Source organism: Homo sapiens, chromosome 4, assembly GCF_000001405.40.
Source record: "Homo sapiens chromosome 4, GRCh38.p14 Primary Assembly".
NCBI lineage: Eukaryota > Metazoa > Chordata > Mammalia > Primates > Hominidae > Homo > Homo sapiens.
The window spans coordinates 57,264,285-57,285,945 of record NC_000004.12 but is presented as its reverse complement, the minus strand read 5'-3'; the positions used below and the strand labels follow the sequence as shown (position 1 = coordinate 57,285,945).

The 21,661-nt window shown below is 41.2% G+C and overlaps 1 annotated feature.

The window, feature by feature from the left end:
* Window positions 19,581–20,137: an enhancer, noted in NCBI's record as "OCT4-NANOG hESC enhancer chr4:58131975-58132531 (GRCh37/hg19 assembly coordinates)". NCBI's record gives its function as "activates a minimal SCP1, AML or CMV promoter by ChIP-STARR-seq in primed H9 embryonic stem cells {active_cell/tissue: H9 hESC(primed)}" and the evidence as "EXISTENCE:reporter gene assay evidence [ECO:0000049][PMID:30033119]".

Here is a 21,661-nt window from a genome sequence, read left to right as displayed (position 1 = left end):
GCTAATAGCTTAGTTTAGCACATTAACTTCCCAGGCCCTGGTGATGCACACGAGCTAGCTGAAACCTTGGCAAGCATGGTCCCAAAGGAAAGTAATATAAGCGGGCACTGGCCCAACTACATCACTTTTTATCCTTTTATTAACAATACCATTTATTGAGCTCTTACTATGTGCCAGCTCCTAAGCTTAGAACGCCCAGACATAACTATTATTCTTCTTATTAAAGAGGTTGAGTAAATCCCCCAAAGTCCATAGCTGTAAGTAGTGAATCTGGAATTCAAACTCAGCATTTAGCACAGTGCTTGGCGCATAGCAGCTGGTCAATTAACAATCCACACATGAATGAATGAATGAATGAATGAATGAATGAAACCCCCAGGTCTGTCTGATTCCAAAGTTCAGACTCCATGGGCATTTACGCAGTGTTTCACAGTTTTTAAGCACGTTCCCATATGCTGTGGTGACTTCAGAGTTGAAACAGCCCACAGCATTATTTGTCTCAAAAAGTACACTTTTGTAGGATGCTTCTTTTTCCCCACGGCTTATTCTATAGGACCCCAAGACAACCTGGAGAAGATCCAGAACACAAAGCATCCACAGGGCAGAGAGTTGCCTGGTGGGGAGCAGAAAGGAGAAAAAAGAGAGGTCACTAGGCCTTCCCTGTAGGTTGCAGGACAGCTTTGCAGACAAAAGGCTAAGATGACACATAAAGATGAAGGGCTGCTGTGATTGGTTAAAGAGGTAATCAATAGTCATTCAGGCTTAGGTTGGCATCCAGCCCCATCTCTTACTAGCTGTGTGACTTAAGCTTTCTGAACCTCAGTCTCTGCATCTATAAAATGGAGATCATTGTTACCTCCCTCACTAGGTAGTTATGAAATTATGCGAGAAAATGTGTGTAAAGTACAGTGCCTGGCATACAGTTAGTGCATACAAGTTAGCTATCTTTATTATTAAAGAGTAAGGTGATGGCTCCCATGGGCATATGTCATCATTTGATCTATGGTTCTCATTGGAGTCATAAATCACCGTAGTTCCCACACTTGAAGATCTTCATTAGACAAGAACCACCAATCCAACCTAAAGGATTTAAAAATATTCACCCTTCTAAGAGCAGGAACCAAAGTGGACCTCTAAACAACCTATTCCACCCTCCCATGCTAAGATGCCCCAGTTTCCAAGCCCCTGACTAGGGGAGGGTGAAGTGAGACTTCCTTCAGACTTTACCCTTTTAGAAATTCTGTTTCGTGCCAGTGTTAATTTCACAGTCCTTAGTGTTCTTTCTATTATTCATGAGTTCTCTGCAATTCAATTTTACAAAGCAAAGGAGGGCAAACAGATACATTTCCCCTTTGAAAACAAAACAGTTCTAGCCCCTGTGGAACTGAAGGCCTGTGGATCAGATGAGTCTTGTGCAACCATAGCAATTGGATTTAAGCGCGTTTCTTGAAGACAGCCCAAAGACAAACTCCACGCTTTGCATTTATATTTGGGGACATTTTACATTGCATTTCTTTTTGTGGGAGTGTATCAATACCCTGAAATTTACTCTACTTTTCTTCGTAACTCAGCATCCCTCCCTTTACTAGACAACGAGAGCTGCATACAAAAGAAAAAGGGAAAGTGAGAGTCCTCCATTCTGCCTCCACTTGTCCTACTTCCTCTGAGCCATCCCATAACATGATTACGTTCCTTCGTAATCAACTGTGTCAAATACTTTGCTGCTAATGAAATAATGTGACCCCTGGGAGGGGCAGGCCTTTAGAATATTCTTTGTGATCTCAAAAAATGGAATACTGCTCTTGGTAAGTATGATGACTCTATTGGGGGAAGCTGGGTGGATTGACAGTTAATGGATCGCCTTAAACCTTTTCTTTAGCCCCTGTGCTGGCTCTGCAATGTGCAATGGGACCCATGGCATGCTAGATGCAGAAGGGTGGCAGCATGTAGCGGTCCCCTCTTATCTGTGGTTTTGCTTTCTGCAAGTTTCAGTTACCCACAGTCAATCACGGTCCAAAAATACTGAAATATTGAGAGAGAGAGTGAGAGAGACCACATTCACATAACTTTTATTACAATATATTGTTGTAGTTGTTCTATTTTATTACTATTCTCTTACTGTGTCTAATTTATAAATTAGACTTTATGATATCATACATATATACACACACATATACAGGAAATAATAATTTATATAGGTATAAGAAGTTCAATACTATTCATGGTTTTAGGCATACATTGGGGGATCTTGGAACATATTCCCCGCAAATAAGGGGGAACTAATATATAGGATCTGTGTGCAAAAAAAGAAAAAGTCACTCCATGCAGGGCTTGGCAAACAGACGGTGTCTTTTTGCAAATTGGGGGAAAAAAACAAGTCACCACTTCCTGAAAGCTGACATTGCCTTGAGACACAGGCTAAATTTCACCCCCTACTCTTCACTGTTGAACTGTAGTGTAGCTCTGTCCTCCAGCACAGAAGATGACAGCTGCACTCTGCCACCCATCTCCATAGTCTTCTCACCTAGACCTGGTCTGAGGGCCTTGTTGAGGGAATCTAGGAAGCAGCTGCCAAGCTTAGGGAATGGTTTGTGAATTTCTCATTTCATTCTGAACTGAAAACAACTACTCAGCTTACTTGGCTAAAAAAGAAGTTGATTAGATGAAACTGAAGGATATGTGTCTGCTGCTGCAGACTAATGTAGAAACATCCAGTACCTCAGCTCCTGTTTTGGGGGTCACAGGCCCCAAAGCTATGCTGAGAATGTAACTGCTATAATCAGATACTTATATGGGCCACAGTGTTTGATTGGGTGACTCAGGAGCTACCACGTCCAGTTTATCACATCTCACCTTGGAATCCAGACAGGCTACTGTGGCTGCATGGGAGAATGTTGATTGTGATAAGGCTATAGACCTATCACAGAAAAGGGGGTCTTTGCTATTTGTTCCTTCACACAGTGGAGAGCATAAAAAATAGAGGAAGATATCAGAAGTGGAAAGCAGAGGGTGTGACATACAGATGTGCCCACCTCCAACTGGTTAGGAGCAGTAACAGGCTTGGAAAAGAACTACCAGGAAAATAAGACCTGTAGAAGTCACCTGAGTACTGTCCTGGTATGAACCAGACATCTTCTCACATGCCAGCAGCTGGAGTCCCAGCATCACTTTCATGTCTGAGATGAACTGGGCCGGGTTTTCTGGGACACACCTCCCTGTTCGGTAGGCCTGAATGGCTAGGTTGAGCATTCAAGCCATTCATCAGTGAGCAGGCAAGGTATTGCTACTGCAGCAAGTAGTGAAGGGGACGTCCTGTCTTCAGAGGCTTCCACTGGAACAAAGAGACACATCCCCCAAATGGCAAGCTCTCCTTGATCAGGAGCAGCCTCTAAGGGACTGTTAAAATTCAACAAAATAAAACAATGAACTATTTGTCCACTCTATACTGATGGCAAACAGTGGTCTCCATCCTTTTCATAACAAACATTCCTGGGTCTCGAGACCATTGTTATATTGTCCAGGGCCTTCTATTACCAAGGTGAAATAAGCCAACTCTCTTCCCCTTTCCTTCCTGAGCCTAGCCTCCTCCTCTCTCTTAGATTTGTGTCTGGCCTGTGAATTCCATTTAAGTCATCGAGTTAATAAATGACTCAATAGAGCTCTCAGCAAGGACTGAAAGCAGTGCTGAGCGCAATCTTGATTAGATTAAATATGTGGCGTACAGCTGAGTCCTCTAAGATAAAAGTTAAAATTAAGTTGAATATTTTTTTTTTTTTTTTTTTTTTTTTTTTTTTTTTTTTTTTTTTTTTTTTTTGAGACGGAGTCTCGCTCTGTCGCCCAGGTCGGACTGCGGACTGCAGTGGCGCAATCTCGGCTCACTGCAAGCTCCGCTTCCCGGGTTCACGCCATTCTCCTGCCTCAGCCTCCCGAGTAGCTGGGACTACAGGCGCCCGCCACCGCGCCCGGCTAATTTTTTGTATTTTTAGTAGAGACGGGGTTTCACCTTGTTAGCCAGGATGGTCTCGATCTCCTGACCTCATGATCCACCCGCCTCGGCCTCCCAAAGTGCTGGGATTACAAGGTTGAATATTTTTTAAAGAATTGAAATTTAGCCTTCAGAGGCAAATATTAGATGCTAGTGATAAAGACAAAGAGTAAATGCACCCCTTGGTCCTCCATCTTTTTCATCATTCTCCCACTCAGTGCCCATTTCTCTTTCCTCACTCCTGCTTGGATTGGGCACCAAGGGTAAAAATCAGAAACAAAAGCATTTTCCAAAGGACTGGGAGAATATTTATGTTCCTTCTTATTTCTCACGTTCCTCCTGCATGGCCTTCTCCCATCCCTCCCATCCCTCCACCACACATGTAGGTGCACACATACACACACGATCAGCCAGTGAGTGCAAAAGTGGTATTCACGTCCCTTATCCCCCCATCAGGGGGAAATGGGGTTGCTAACCCAAAATGCATTTTCAAATCTAGTCCTGTTCTATAGAAACAAATGTTCTTTCCAGTAAAACACCCTGTAATTCTGGGGGCATTATTACCAGTGGATAAATGAGAGGTTGTGATTTCAGCTCTCCCTCTGATTGCCCTATTACGTGGCATCCCCACTGTTGCTCTGGCTACCCTGTTATTCTCAGAATGTTCAAACCACTCTCTTTGCCCCTATTTTGTTGTGTTTTTTTTGTTTGTTTGGTTGCTTTTTTCTGTGTTTCTGTTCTCTCACAATTTTCTTTTACATTTCAAAATAAGTCTGTCTTTAATCCATTCTTTTTTATTTTTTGACATATAAAATCGTAGGTATGATTTTTATCATGTACATCATGTTTTGAAGTATGTATACATTGTGGAATGGTTAAATCTAGCTAGTTACCAAATGCATTACCTTACATAGTTATCATTTTTGTGTTGAGAACACAACATTCCACTCTCTTAGTGTTTTTTAAGAATACAATATATTGTCATTAACTACAGTCATCATGCTGTAGAATAGATCTCTTGAACCTGTTTTGAAAATAAGCATTGAAACACAAACCAAATGAATGTCAAATATGACATTCCAAAACACGATTGTTGTGCTTTGTAGAAACTAACTGCCTCTTTATATAAGAAAAAGCAAAACAAATAAAACAAAAGCTTCTGTAATTCAGACATGTATTTCCAGTTGGATTCGAAAGGTTTCCCCAGTAAGAGACTCCAAGCTTTGTTTTCTTTGCCCACTCACACTCCACTCAGCCTCTCTCAACAGCCCCTTCACAGTCAGCTGTGCTAAGATACTTCTGCTCAGATGCCTCTCAGAGAAGAAGGAAATGAGCTGCTGAAACCTGACTTTCTGTCCTTTTTGCAAGACTCTGCTTGGCAATAAAGCAGAGACTGGTGGTCAAGCTAAAGTCATTACACTGGGATTACTGATTGGTCTGGAGGCAAGAGATAGTTATGAAAGAGAAAGAAAGCTATTTTTCCCCAAAATGACACCCAGGACTAACTTAAGAATTAAAACACAACTTTAATACGTAATAATTTAAAAGGAAAAAAGACATCGTGATAGGTCACATTTCTAGAAACTGGGCCATTTCTGTCCGTGCCAGTTTGGCACAGCTTAGACACCCTCCAGTACAAAGCAGCTAAGAAGAGTCAAGGAATCTAAAAATGTCTTCTAGGGGCAGACAACTCAAGGTTCCTGGAATCAGGATTAAGGACATCTAGAGTGAAAAGCAGTGGCTCTCAAATTTCAGCAGTTTTGCTTCAGTCTGTGCTGAAGTTTAGGCAATTCTTCCTCCTGGGGAGCAGGCGCCCTAGGTTCCTAGCAAGCTGAGCTCTGGGCCTAAGGAGAAATACTGTTAGTTACGTATAAACTATTTTAAAACTGGTGTGCTCTGTAATTGCCATTTCGAAGTTTGAAAAGGTAAAGGAAAAAAAAACTTTAATTTTCAAATTAATTTCTGGTCATTAGCAGACTATTAAGAGCTTAAGGTCCAAAAGCTTTGGTCCTAGGAAAAAGCCACTCTCCAACCCACTCAGCCCACTTTCACTTGGAGGAGGATACCGAAAGCTGGAAATAGCCCTTGGGTGAGGATTTCCATCACTTTCTACCCTTCCTGGGCCACAAGCACAGCAGTCAGCCCCAGAAGGCAGCAGTTGGTGGGGACAGTGCACCATCGGCTTAGGGATAGCAGTGCCTGTTCCCTTTTGCCAAGTCCCTGGGTCCAGGCTGGGATCTCCTGCAGAAGAAAGAAAACTCACCTGTCTCCCATCCTCCCTCTCCTCCACCAGCTACTCACTGGATGGCGGCAAAATAAGTCACCAAACATCATCTGACCATCCTCAGAAGACACATATGAGGCAAATAAATGACAAGGTATATTCCCTTCACGTTCTGACAGGAAAAGAACAAGAGGCTGGAGCCTTTGTGTCCTAAACCTCAAAGCCCTCCAAACTGTTCCTGGTTCGTAGAGCCTGGGGCTAAGAGGAACTTCAGTGACCAAAGATAATTTTCAGATGTCTTATGAATCACGAGAAGATATAAAAGAACAGGAGGCAGGGATTAAGCCCAAAACCCCCTGTGTTCCTTCTTACACAACTGAGATACAGGACTAAATGCCATGAAAAAATTGCTGAATTAAAGAGAAAGGTGTAGAAATTCAAGCTGTTCTAAGGTAAGAAATCTCCCTAAGTTACCCCCTAGCTTAGGCTTACACTGTAGAGTCTGCTCAAAAATGTGCTCAAGCCCCATCACCTTCATTCAAGCCCTCGCTAAAACTTTCAATGAGTTATTATATGCATTAAATTGTCATTTAATCGTACCCAAGCACTGTCATAAAAGCAAATGAAGCAAGTCAAGCAGCATTGGAATAAAAAATACCACACTAGGTACATTCTGAAAGCACAAGCTGAAAAATGCTTACTGTCAACTCATACCCCGGGAAGGGGCAGCCTCCTGTCATCGAGGGTAACAAATGGTTTTGAAGGTGCCGGCTCTTCACACTCTCATGTGTGGCTTGGGAGTCGATGTCTGCCAACCAGCAGCAAGGCCGGCTTCCTCTTAGCTGACCACTGTCCCACAGGCCTTGGTTGGAGGTTGTTTGGTCCAAAGGCCCAACTCAAAAAGAGGCTGTCAGGAACTAACCCCAGAGCAAGCTCTTACATGCTCTTTTTTAGTTAGGAAGTAATGGCAATTCCCTGTCTCAGAAATCCTCAGCGGAACACCCATTTCAGGCTGTCTTTAGTGAATTTAAATGCACCATAACAGCTTCTATAAGTGGAGAAGGGGGTTACCCACAAAATCCCTGACTTACATCCACCCAGAGGAATTCTGGCTTACCAAGATCCCCCAACTGGTATGCTTTTGTGACCCTGATGGGGGCACTGATGAGGGGAAAACTGGAAAAACCAAAAAGAATAGTTGAGTTTCTACTGGCAAGAGCAGAGAGAAGGCACTAGGGAGCCCGGGGAACCTGCAAAAGCTGAGGGTAGGAGATTGTGGGGTGCTCAGGCAGAGATAGAGGACGCCTTTGAGACATTTTTAAAGAGGCAGGGGGAAAAGATGATTTTTAACAGGTTGAGAATATACTGTGACTGTAAATCCTTTCTGTTCAGCTTTGTTTGTATTTCATTTGCTTATTTGTTTTGCTATATTTTGGAAAGACTACGTTTTTAAAGATGAAAGTTGCTTGTTCAAGTTTTTTAGAACTCTAAACAGGCTCAGAATTCCAAACAGGTGTCTTTTTTTTTTTTTTAATGTTATATAGTGTTGAGACCAGCCTATATAGTGACTCCATTTTTAATGGTTATGTTTAGATATTTGTACCTCTTTGGCATCTTCTGAGAGTAAATGATTCAATTTATTCAATATTGTTGAATGCAAAACACTCAGCTTGACCTGTAGAAAACTCAAAGATATCAGACAAGGACACTGTTTTGAAAGAGCTTAACCTGATGTAATTACCATTTAATGGCTATTATAATTATATTCTATTTAAAACAGATACTGGAAGAGAAGCATACTTCAAGTTCTAAAGAAGCTTGAAATAGAGGGAAAATACTTCCAGCTAGGGAGGAAGTTGAGGGAGAGGAAGAACCATCATGAATTAAGGAATACTTCATGGACCTTAAATGATGAGTAGGCTTTTGGCATGCACAGATTGGAGGGTAGAGTCTTCTAGGTAGAGGGAAGGGAATTCTAAAATGAAAGAAAAACCTAAGCAAAAACTAGAAGGAAGAAAATATAGAGGATGCTTAAGTAAATAGTGAGAGGCTCAGTTTAACTAAACAAAATATCTATGAGGGGAACTAATAGGAGGTGAAGTTAGAAAGGCAAGTCATAAGCAAACCACTGAGAATAGAGGCTGCCATGCTAATGAGCTTATTTGGCTCAATAAGCATTTGCAGGGGATACATGTGGCAACTGAAGATTTTGAACAGAGCATTCCTGAAACAGGGCATGTTTCATAACTTTGTGTTGAGGCCCAGCCTGTCCTCCAGCAATATTGCTTCCCATCCATGCTCACTCAGATTTTCTTAATTCATATTTCGAAAAATAAGTTTTGAACCACGTACATATTGAGGCTTTGGAGAAAAGACTGAACTGCCTCTGTCACCTGGGCAAGAAAACTTTATGGGAAGTCAGGCCACAAGGCAATCTTTCCAAACATGGCAGGCCACTGTTGATTTTACTGGCTGATCAGGCAGAGTGTCATCTCCTTCCCCCATTCCCAGGACCAAGCATGACCCTAGTTGGCCTGAAGGTAGGTGGTCATTAGCACAGATAAGTTCCCACATCCTAGTAGTTTAAGAGATTTTAAATGGTGGCTGAGACTGAGCTCAAGACGAAGTCTGGATGACAGACAGATGGCATCCTCTCATAAATGCAGACAGGCTCAGAAATACTGAAGGTCTTAAAACAATCTGCGGGGACACATGCAAGAACCAATACTAGTATCGCCTTATAAGGGTTTCTTTCCCAGAGGAAGATCATTAGTGCCAAGAGTTGGCCATTGGTGGAATGCAGATCTGTCCACATAGTTTATGTATCCCAGTCACTGGTAATGTTCAGGAAGAAGCAGCAGGCTTCTTAGTATAGAGACCATATCTCCTTGATTCACTACTGCATCCCAAAATCATTCCTAGTACATAGGGGACACTGGATGAATACTCATGGAATAAATGGCCAAGTAAACTGGTGCAGCTGGTGAGCATCCTCCTAGGGTACTGTACAGAGAATTTCTGCATTGGCAAGGAGGCTGAATTTGATTTCTGAGGCCCCTCCCAGCACTAAGATTCCATGGTCCTCCTCTGCATGTTGAAATTCATTAAATATTTATTGAACACCTGCTATATACCAGAGGATGTCCTAAGCACCCAGAAAACAAAGGTAAATAAAAACAAACCCTTTTACTCAAGGAACTCATGATATAGTTAAAATGACAGTCCATAGTTTAGGAATACCCTCCTCAAAGGGATCAAAGAATCTGAAGACCCCTCGGTTATCCATTTAGTTTCTTCCAGAGACCTTTTAAGTACTAATATACATATTTACTAATAAGTACTTCCCTAGATGATATATGATATGGTTTGGCTGTGCCCCACCCAAATCTCATCTTTAATTCCCATGTATTGTTGGGAGGGACCCAGTGGGAAGTAATTGAGTCATGGGGGCAGGTCTTTCCCATGCTGTTCTCGTGATAGTGAATAAGTCTCACAAGATCAGATGGTTTTATAACGGGGAGTTTCCCTGCACAAGCCCTCTTCTCTTGTCTGCTGCATGTGAGGATGGGCCTTTCACCTTCTACCATGGTTATGAGGCCTCCCCAGCCACATGGAACTGTGAGTCCATTAAACCTCTTTTTCTTATAAATTACCCAGTCTCAGGTATGTCTTTATCAGAAGCATGAAAACAGACTAATACAGAATATAGTTCTGAATTTTCTATCCTAGTGAAAAGTTGAGTGAGGATGGTAAAACTTAGTTTCAAAAGTGCTCCCAGAAGAAAACAGACTGCCTGGCCCAGTGGCGTTTTAGTGGGATGGTTTGTCTGTCTCTTCCTCCTGTGTATGCTTTTATTGGAGTTCATGAAAGAATCATAGAATCCTAGGTCTGAAAAGGAACTTAGAGCTCATCTACTCTAACACCCTTAGGAAACTAAAGCCTGTGGAGTCAAATAGCCTCTAGTTAGTGACACAGCTGAGACTGGAACTGTGTCTTTTGACTCGAAGCTAACATTCTCTATGCCACACCAAGCTAACATGCTTTTTAAGCATTGGGAAACTGCTGATGTGCTCTGTGTATCTATATTACAGCTGAAAGGCCTTATTTCCATAATCCAAAAAGAGGTAATGAAATACCTGTCTTGCTTGAATTCTCTGAAGGAAATTTAGAGAGGCTGCTCGGTGTTATGGAAAATATACTGGATTGGATCCATGAAATTAAGGTTCTAGACTGATCGCTATGAGTAATTTTATGGGTATCTTCCAACTTCAGCCCTCTGGATCTCAGTTTTCTAGCTAAAAGAAAGGGTAGTGAACAACAATCAGGTATAGCAAACTCAAGTGCCTGGTAGAATCAGGAAGGTAACAAATATGTGTAAAGCAGGCCAAATACAAGACCATAAGCAGGGGTGAGCAGCTGGAGAGTTCAGGTCCCTTTTAAAGGCTTTCAAATTCAAATTTAAAATTTAAAATGGTGTGGACCCCAGAAGACAGTTCTGTGAGTCAAATGTAGCCCACAGTCAGATAGTATAATACGTCTGAACTAGATGCTTAGGCCCCTTTCTTCTACAATTTCTTGAATATGAAAACAAAATATGTGGTTACCAGAAGTCAGTGTTTTCACTAGAGTCTAATATATTATGATTGCTTTCAAGTAACTCATTTGTTTTAACATTTCTTTGATCTAGAAATACCTAATCATTTTCCTCTGTCTTGCTGTGCAGCTTTCAATAGTTTGCCTGGTTTCTCTGTGCCGCAGTTTGTCATTAGCTAAATGAAAAATAAAATCGCTGACCATTCTCATACGGTATGGTATGAATTAATTAATGTTTTGGCATAAATGTCAAGGATGTTCGTTAATAAAATATATCTTGTGGGCATATATCCTTCATGATCGTTTGCCTCAATAGTTTTTTTGTTGGCATCAACTTTTATTGACTGTTCTACATAATTAAAACCCCAGGAAATTGACTTAAAAAGACCAGGAAGGGTGTGTAATACAGGACTGCCAACATTAATGAAATAATTTAAGTCAGAATTAGACAAAGGGAAAAAGTAAACTCAGCAAATTATTCAAGTACTAAGAAAGCCTGATTGTTCAAGTGTAATTAAAATATACAGCTGGAATAGTAACCGCTAACAGAGTGATCTGATCAATGAACACAGTAGCTATAAAAATTTAATGCAGTGTGAGCAGCCTATTTTTTAAAATGCAAATAATCAACCCAAAATGCAGCTGCCTGTTATGAGGCAAACATGCAAAAACTAACAAGCTCAGGGAAATTGTACTGATGACTCAGAAAAAACAGGCTGCTGTAAGATATTAAGAATATTGCTCTCAATAGCAACGCCCCCATTTAATCATAAAGATTAATTTCTCTAAAAAAGGGGGGTGGAGCTGGTGGTCAGAGCTATAAGAGAATTTATTTCCTCCATCCAATTCTTTACCTAATGCCTGGGCTGCGCAGTGATGTATGCTGTATCTCCTCACCCATGCTGTCCACATTACACCCCTTTCATTACCACCCAGACCACTTTACCCACACAGTGTCTAGACTTTTGATCTAACACTTTAAATTAGCATAAAAACAAAATAAAACCAGACTCTATAAAAGTTACAGGCATATCTGAGAAAAAAACTACAAGGGAGCAAATCACTAGAGGGGATGGTGAGATTTTAGGTCATTTCTTTCATTATTTCTATTATTTTTATTATAAAGTGTGCAGTTAACATGTAAAAACTGGAATGTCTCCATACCACACCAGGGCATGGGTATGAACAAGGTCACAATAATATTAATCGCACACATTTCATCAGCTTCAAAACCCTACTTGCTAATATAGGAACACCAGGCCTTGGAAGAGTTCCCACCCCTCTTCCAGCATCACTGAGATTCCCCTCCTGTGGCTGGATGAGCTGTGGTGGACACGGAAATTTGACACCCAGATCCCCTCAAAGGGAGTACTCATCTCAGTGCTTAGCTCCCTCCAAATCTGCCTTAGCTACAGAGAGATGCTCCTTTCCTGGCACAGCCCACACCCAGTGACTGATGGGGGTGGATGTAAAGGTCCAACCATATTAGCTCACTCGGAACAACTCTGGCAGGCACATGCAGTCCAGAGCTCCCAAAGGGGCTGGTCGAGTTATTATTGGGCCTGTATTGAAGTTTATTTAACTTCTCTGTCTGCCCAGTCCTGCTTCTTCCCCTCTGTCCTTCCAAAGTTGTTGATTCCTAGTAAATATCCTGCAGACCAATCTCCATCTTGGCATCTGCTTTCAGACAAGCCAACATGTGACATGAATGCATCCTGGCTACCACTAGCAACTGAGCTGGCCAAGTGGGTCTCAACTGCTCAGCAGGATCCTCCATCTTCCCCAGCCTGGACCCACATCTCTGCTGGTCACCATGGAAACCAGCCCCTCAGCCCTCAGTGCCCTGTGAGTACTCAGCAGTCCCCTGTGACACTGGAAGGACCTCCCTTCCTCTGCAGTACGTTCCATCAGCAGATACCAAAGGAGGACTCATTGGGCCCTGATGTATCTCTCGGTTTACAAATAGGTGGTTTTCTCCCCCTGCCACAATAGCCAGACAGAATAGGTTTGAGTACAGCCACCACCCTGTACCTGGAATCTACTCCTCTCTGAACCTCAAAAATTCATCTTCTAGTCAAGCCAGACTCTGGCTTCCATGTGGTAAGTTATCTCTCAACTTTCTTCCCTGCCTCGACAAAAACCCTCTTGAGATTCCTTTACACAGCCATAAACACATCTAATCCACCAAACAGGTCTGAACCTGTCTTAGTCCTTTCTGTCCAGCTATAACAGAATACCACAGATCGGTTAATTTATAAAGAAAATCCATTTATTTCTCACATTTCTAGGGGCTGAGAAGTCCAAGAGCATGGTGCCAGCATCTGGCAAGGGCAATCCCATGGAAGAAAGGTGGAATGCAGAAGTGAGCATGTGGGATAGAAAGACAGGAAATCAGGCTGAACTCATCCTTTTTATCAGGGGCTCACTCCTGAGGTGATTAGCCCACTCCCAGGATAATGACCTTCATCCATTCATAAGGGTGGGGCCTTATGACTTAATCAAATCATAAAGGCACCATTTCTCAATACTGTCAATTGGCCACTAAATTTCCACATGAATTTTTAGGGGACAGTCAAATCAACTGTTGTAACCACTGAAGTGTTTGGAGGCTCTTAATCTTCAGGAAGTGTAATAAAACTAGCTGTGGAAAATGATGAGGAAAGGAGAGAAATGTTTTTTTGTTTGGTTCGTATACATATAAATATTACCTAACAAACATTTATACCCCAATTACCATTGGCCCTGATCTAAGTCTTTTATATATATTAACACATGCAATCCTAAAACAGTTCCATCAGATAATTAATTAGGCCCACTCTGCACATGAGGAAGCTGAGGCACAGAGCAATTTGGTGATGCGAAGTTATACAACATGTAAGCTGTAAGTTTGCAACCTGCGGAATAGGAGAAAATATTTGCGAACTATATGTGCAATAAGGGGTTAACATCTAAACTGTATAAGGAACTCATACAACTCAATAGCAAAAGCAAAAGCAAAAACAAATGTTCTGATTTTACAATGGACAAAGAACCTGAATAAACAGTTTTCCAAAGACATACAAACAGTTAACAGGTATATGAAAAGGTGCTCAACATCGCTCATCATCAGAGAAATGCAAATTCAAACCACCATGAGACATCACCTCACACCTGTTAGAAAAGCTATGATCAAAAACATAAGAGGTAACAAGTGTTGGTGAGGATGTGGAGAAAAGGGAAACTTTGCACACTGTTGGTGGGAGTGTAAATTGGTACAGCCATTATGAAAAACAGTATGAAGGATCCTCAAAAAATTAAAGCTAGAACTCCCTTGTGAACCAGCAATCCTACTTTTGGGTATATATCCAAAGGAAATGAAACAGTATGTCAAAGAAATCTCTGCACTCCCCTGTTCATTGCAGCATTATTCACAATACCTAAGATATGGAAAGAACCTAAATGCCTATAGATGAATGAATGAATGAATGAATGAATGAATGAATGAAGAAAATGTGGTGTGTCTATATAAATGTGGTATATATATGTATGTATACACACAGACACAAACACACTAGAATATTATTCAGCCTTTACAAAGAAGGAAATCTTGTCATTTGCAACAACACGGATAAATCTGGACAATATTATGCTAAGTAAAATAAGCCAGACACAGAAACACAAATACTGCATGATCTCATTCATTTGGAATATATACATGTTAAACTTATAGAAACTGAGAGTATAATGGCAGTTTCCAGGGGCTGGGAGTGGAGGAAATGGGAAGATGTTGTAAAGGGGTACAAATATTCAGTCAGACAGAATGAACAAGTTCTGGATATCTAATGTACAGCATGGTGACTATAGTTAATAATAATGCACTGTACACTTGAAATTTACTAAAAGAGAAGATCTTAGGGATTCTCATCATAAAAAAAGCTACTAACTATGTGAGGTGATGGAGATGTTAATTAGCTTGATTGTATACATCATTTCATGATGTATGCATGAATGTATGTATATGTATTCATAAATAAGTGTATGTATTATATATGTATGCAGTGTACATATATATCAAAACATCACTTTGTACACCTTGAATATATACAATTTTTATTTGTCAATTACACAGAAAAGCTGGGGGAAAAAGTTGTGAGGATGCTAGTCAAACCAGGTGGCCTGGCTCCACTGCCCTGCTCTTAACCACTGCTCCACATGGCTCTTCAGCTCGGGATGGATACCTATTCCAGTATAATACTGAAATATCTCACTTGGGGAAAATTAAAGATGCAACAACAATAAGCCAGCAAAGGTCTACATCCTTTCGTCTTCTTTTTTCCACCTCACCCAGGCAAATGCCTGAGGCTAAAATAGTACTTTCCAAAGCGCCTGAACAGGGATAGGCATCAGAGTAAACAATACTGGGTAAAATCATCTGTGACGCATTTTCTGCCATTTTCTTGGTATCTAGTTTCCCCTAACCCCTCTCTTCTCACTCCAGTGCCCCAGTAGCTCTTGGCAGAGGCTTAAATGGGTCACCTGGGGCAGCCCTGGCTTGAGCTCTGCTTGCTGCCTCTGGCCTTATCTGCAATGAAGCAGCCGCTGCTTGGTGTACAGCAATTCTCAAAGGTCATCAGAGGCAGCTGCAAGCTTGGCTGGAGTTAACACAATTCGTTAAGCAGGCGATGAGTCCTCCAGAGCTGAGTGAACGCCTACATAGCTAACATATTGACGCTATTCCAAGTGGCTTCCTTCTGTCCTCGCCTCTATTGCCCATGCTGGATATACTAGTAGTTCATGCTCTTGACTTGAACCTCTGCTACTGTAGTGCTGTGAAGGCAGAGGACTCAGAGCTCAATTCAGCTGCATCTTTTTAAATGCCAATGAAGGGAAAAATCACTATAGAAGAGGCAAAGGGCTGCAACATTAACATCTACAGAGAATTTATTCTTACGAAATCCCATCGGGAAGTTTCAAGTATTATCTCAGTTAGCCCTTCCTACCACACTATGCAGTATTACTCACGTTCTTTAGGTGAGGAAAATGAGAAGACAGAGAAAGTGACTTGATCAAGGTCTCACAGCTAAAAAGTAGCACAGCTGATTTAAAGCCATTCCTGTGTGACCCCCACACCTCTGCTTTCCCCCACCGCAATATGGTGGTGTGCTAAAGGAGCTCACAGTTAAGTGAGTAAGGCCAATGTATAAAAAACTAACAGAGCACAAAGTAGAATTCAAAAGTGGCCATAACAGAGGTTCAAGATGGAAGACAGAGGAAGGAACAAGTCATTGCAACTAGGAGGCTTAGACAAAGAGGTTGCTTTTGAGCTAGATCTTGAAAACTAAGTAGACTAAAGAAGTTGTATGAGCAAAAGGACAGAGTCATAAAAGAGTGTGTAGCAAAAGCTACTAGCTGTTCACAATTATCCATTTCCTCTTCTTCTACACTTGGCCAGATTATCTTTCCTAAAACTCCTGTGCAATTCAGTATGGCCACCCTTCTAAAAATTCTAGCTAATGGAATATGATTAGAAGTGATGACTGACGGGGCTGGCCCAGAAACCCCTCACATGGGCTTTCTGTCCAGTTTACCCTCTAACTGGCTGGAACAAAGATGACCAGGGCAGCTCTGGATGCTGCGTGCTGAAGACCGCAGAGCTCTCATCAGTTTGACTCTCGACTAGACCTCATGGAGGAGAGCTCTCCTGCCTACCAGGAGCACCTACGTTGGATTCTTTAGTGAGTAAAACATATATGAACTTCTACTGTGTTTGAATCATTCTGCATTGGGGTCTACTTGTGACAGGAGCTTGTGTTACCCTAAATAATACCAGTAGTATCCTTAGGTGAAGGTGAACAGAGAGGCACCCAGGCAATGTTGCGGAAGTAGCCTGGACACCCCAGTGGGGGTAGATCGAGGTGGGCCACATTAAAGAGTTGAGATTTCTTCTGTTAGCAGCAGGCAAAGTAAATTCACACTCTGACAAAATTAGTCTGTATATAGGCAAAATGAGTTTTGAAGGCCACTTTATGAGCATCTGACATTTAAAACTGTATGCTGGGCACTAACATGAGTACCTCCTTACACAGTCGATCTTTTATTTTGCAAAGAAGTAAGCTGCTAGAAATGATACCTATGCTTCAAGTTTTGTACTTTCCATTTTATTAATGAGCATTCATTGATTTGGTTACATGTTTTAGTTTTAGTTCCACCAACATACGCTATAATTGGCATCTGACAATGGAAGAGAATACCCAAGTTAGAAATACACAAATGCTCCTACTCTAAGGACAATTGAAGAACAAACAGAAACAAAGATTGCAGCTGGCATTATGTTGTCAGAGAAAGCAGAATGTTGTAAAAGATATTCCTATGCTCTTTCAGACATACTTTTCCCAAGGCCGGAAATGTGGCATACAGCCCAAGACAGGCTGGAAATAAGAAGTATATAAAAACAATACTGCAGAAAAGAACAACGAAAAATTAATTGGAAGTAGAAAGCACGCACATTAGTGTGAACTTAGTTTTCTGAATCAACAGTTTCTCTCTAAATGCAACCCAAAGATGAATGTTGGACATGGCTGGAACATTGTGATAGGGTGACAGGACGCAGTGGGGAAAAGCGTTTCTCAATTTAGAGGAAGCATGAGGTTGATTTTAAGAACACCAATTTTGGTGGACTCCAAGGGAAGTTAACCTAAGTAGAGAAGAAAGATAGAAACAGAAGTTAGAGTGGTAAACAATGTGAATGCAGGTAAAGAGATTTAAAGATATATTGATCTAACAGAATGAACCAAAAATTCAGTCATGCGGCCACCCCTAGATGCAGAGAAGCCGGGAAATGTAATTCAACTGTGTGCTCCAGAAGAAGAGAATATGGATTTCTATGACTGAGTGATCATCTCAGTCACGATGTCCTTCTATGATTCATATCACTGTCTTAGAATGAAATTGTATGTCCCCCTTTTTTTTTATTTTGGTGTGTAGACAGACTGGCATTGGTTGACATATAGTTATTGGATAGATAGGTGTGGCTAGCATTGTCAGGCTTTCAGAACTAGAAAAAAATGCCAGAGACTTGATTCTAGCCCTGAAAGACTTCATTATGTGTTATGTCATGGGTAATAAACAAAGGAAATGAGATCCAGGAAATCCAGAGTTATAATTTAGACTTTATCAGACTGTTGCACTAGTTGAGCTGCAACAAGGGACGAAACTACAGGGACTTAAATAAGATAGATGTTTATTTCTCTGTCACATAATAGTCTCGATGAGAGTTGGCATGAATCAAGTAGGAATGAGAGAAAGGGAGGGCAAGTTTCTTTTCTTTTAAAGGTGCAATCCAAATTTACACAGATTACTTTCTTTCACATCCCATTGGCCAGACCAAGTCACATGGCTAAAGCTAGGCACAAAAGAGGCTGGAGGTGTGGTTTTTTGTGGAGCAGCCACATGGAGCAGCAGAAAACTTTCATGAAGAAAGAGAGGAGAATAAATATTGGAAGTTGGTTTTTGTTGACTTCACCAAAAAAGTCAAAGAAAGTTTCCATTTATACACCCTAATAATGTACCAACCTGATGGAAAGTCATGGAATGTTATGATGGTATGACATTTTCACAAAGAGTGAGAACATCAAATTCAGCTCAGTGGGAAGTGGACTTTGGAACTACTGTCAAAGAAAGAAAGTTTACTATCCAGAGCAGTGGTTCCCAACATCACTGAGTATTATAATCACTGAGTATTATAATCACCTGGGAGGTGTTTCTTAAAATATCAGTATCTGGGTCCTGGACATTCTGATTCAGGAAATGTGGGTAATGACCTGGGCATCTGAATTTTTTTAATCCCCAAGAGTGAATAGGATGTGCTGTAAGGCCTTAAAACCAATGATAAAGGGAAATTCAAAGACAAATGTTGCCTTTATCTTCAAACTTTCTTGGAAGCTTAAAGGATAAAAGTGATTTTAAATAAACAAACATCATTTGGCATTTCTGAGAAGCTGCAATCAGAAGGATTTTAGATTATAAATGATTGATTATGAAAATACTGGGATTCAAAGAGGTGGGTCTGTCTACTGGCTCTGCCACTTTAGACCTTGGCAAGTATCTAAAGAGCTCCACGCCTGATGCCCCTCCTCAATAAATGAAGAGTTAGCCAAAATGATTGCTTACAGCATTCTGTGATCCTACTTGTGGCTGGCCAATTCCTTTTATTCACTAGTTCATTTTAAGTAACATACAATTACAGTAAAAATAATTAACATTCAACAAATATTTATAGAGCTCTTACTTTGTACTAGGCTCTGCTGAGAATACAAAGGGAGCGAAGATAAATGAGGTTAGCCTCCAATATGTTATATCAACTGCAAAACTCTGTACCATACAACGTTTATCAAAGGCCTATTGGCGGTCACCTTGAGATGGTAGAAACCTACATAGGCTCCTCCTCAGTCTCTCTCTGTCTGTTTCTCTCTCTGTCTCTCATTCACTCTCTTTTCTTTTTCTCCTTTCCACTTTCTTTTGTTTAAATTCAAGTTTTTCTAAGGTAGGCAGGTATATAATACTCTGTTATGGGGGAAAATTAATCCTACGCAGTCTTATTTTAAAAAAAGATATTTTGAAAGATATTTTCAAATTCCTATTTTTTTGTAGCAGATATCAGGAGTAAGTAATATGTAGACAGAAATATCTGATAAGACAGAGCTCATCTTGAGCAGACAGAACTTGGGCAAAGGCTGGCCCATTCCATCTCCCTACGTTTCAGGACAGAAAATGCAGATTCAGCAGAAATTAGTGTGTGTGTGTGTGTGTGTGTGTGTGTGTGTGTATACACACATGCATGTACATGTTTAATAGAAGAAAGGAGCAACAAGAAATGGGTACCAATAAAAAAGAAAGAAAGAAAAATCACACTCCTCGAAAAAAAATTAATTCCTTTTTGTGTAATCCAAACAGCTTTGATAATTGAGGTTTCCCAGCAAATCTTACAATATTTTTTCCAGCTTTCTCTGGTAACCTTCACCTCACTGTGGCTGTTAAGTGCTGAGAGGCTAACTACTGTTTGTTCCTTGGATACAAAAGGCATTCCGTTCTCTCTGAGTGGTTCTGTGCTTCTAAGGTCAGCAAACGCCCTCCCCCCAGCCAGCTTTCAATTGCTTACCAGAGGAGGGCACCAGGGCATGATCATTCAAAACACCAGAGCATCCAAAAGCTTGGGAATGCGTCATTTGATTACTATTATTTTCCCAGTTGCTTCCCTTTCCTCCATTATGTTTTGTTTAGGATAAAGTACTTTGCATCTCCCAGCAAACATTGTTTGGAAGGAGGGAAGAGAAACCTAGCCAAGAACAGGACAAGGAATGGGGCAAGCTGACACTGAATTGAGAGTGTGTTGAATAAGGCCATGTAAACTTTTCCATATTTCATTTCTGAAAAGGGCTCAGTGTGGACTCCATCACTAACACTGACCTTGGAAACACCTAAGACTTTTTAATATATTGCTGTTGATCCTTATTTGTTAATAAATTATGAAGTTAAGCATCGAAGCATTGCTCTTTAATCAATATCCAGTAGAACCTCCATTTTTTCATCATCTAGTAACTCTTTCTAACAGTCTTCTCTCTGGTGGTCTTACCAAGGCAATGAAAGAAAAAAAAAAAAAGAATTGCATCTCTTTAATTACTACGCTGGATCTCTCATGAATGGTTTGATGTGTCCCCATGGAAATAAGCGAGTTCTGTCTCTGTTAGTTCATGCGAGATCTGGTAGTTTAAAGGGGCCTGTCTCCTCCCTCCCTCTCTGGCTCCTGCTCTCACCATGTGATGTGCTGGCTCCCATTTCGCCTTCTGCCATGATTGTAATCCTCCTGCGGCCCTCACCAGAAGCAGATGCCAGCACTGTGCTTCATGTACAGCCTGCAGAACCATAAGCCAATTAAACTTCTTTATAAATTACCCAGGCCCAGGGATTTTTTTATAGTGATGCAAAGCAAAATAATAAAACATACATCAGGCCAGGCACAGTGGCTCATGCCTGTAATCCCAGCACTTTGGGAGGCCAAGGTGGGTGGATCACCTGAGGTTGGGAGCTCGAGACCAGCCTGACCAACATGGAGAAACCTCATCTCTACTAAAAATACAAAATTAGCCGGGTGTGGTGGCGCACGCCTGTAATCCCATTTGCTTGGGAGGCTGAGGCAGGAGAATTGCTTGAACCTGGGAGGTGGAGGTTGCGGTGAACCAAGATCACACCATTGCACTCTCAGCCTGGGCAACAAAAGCAAAACCCTGTCTCAAAAAAAAAAAAAAATCAAAAGTATGGACATTATTAAGTGTTTCCATGTTATTATGTATGAAAAACAAAAGGGTTTGACCCTTCGACAAAAAAATAAAATGATGGGGACACAGGAAAGTATTCATAATCTAAAGCAATGATTGATTCTCAACCAAGGATGATTTTGCCCCCAGGGAACATTTGACAAGCTCTAGAGCCATTTTTTGGCTTTTTGGCAGGGAAAGGGGGGGTTGCTTGTTTATTTAGAAAAAGGGTTGTTTGTGCTCTGTGTCCCAGGCTAAAGTGCAATGGCACAACCATAGTTCACTGCAGCCTAAAACTCTTGGGCTCAAGCAATCCTCCTGCCTCAGCCTCTGGTGTAGCCAGGACTACAGGCATGCCCCACTATGCCTGGCTTATTTTTTTTAATTATTTTTTGTAGACATGAGGGTCTCACTGTGTTGCCCAGGCTGCTCTCAAACCTCTGGCCTCAAGACATCCTCCCACCTCAGCCTCCCAATGTGTTGGGATTATAGGCATGAGCCACCACGTCCAGCCTGGAGCCATTATTTACTGTCACAGTAGAAGTCGGAGGAATATTATTAGCAACT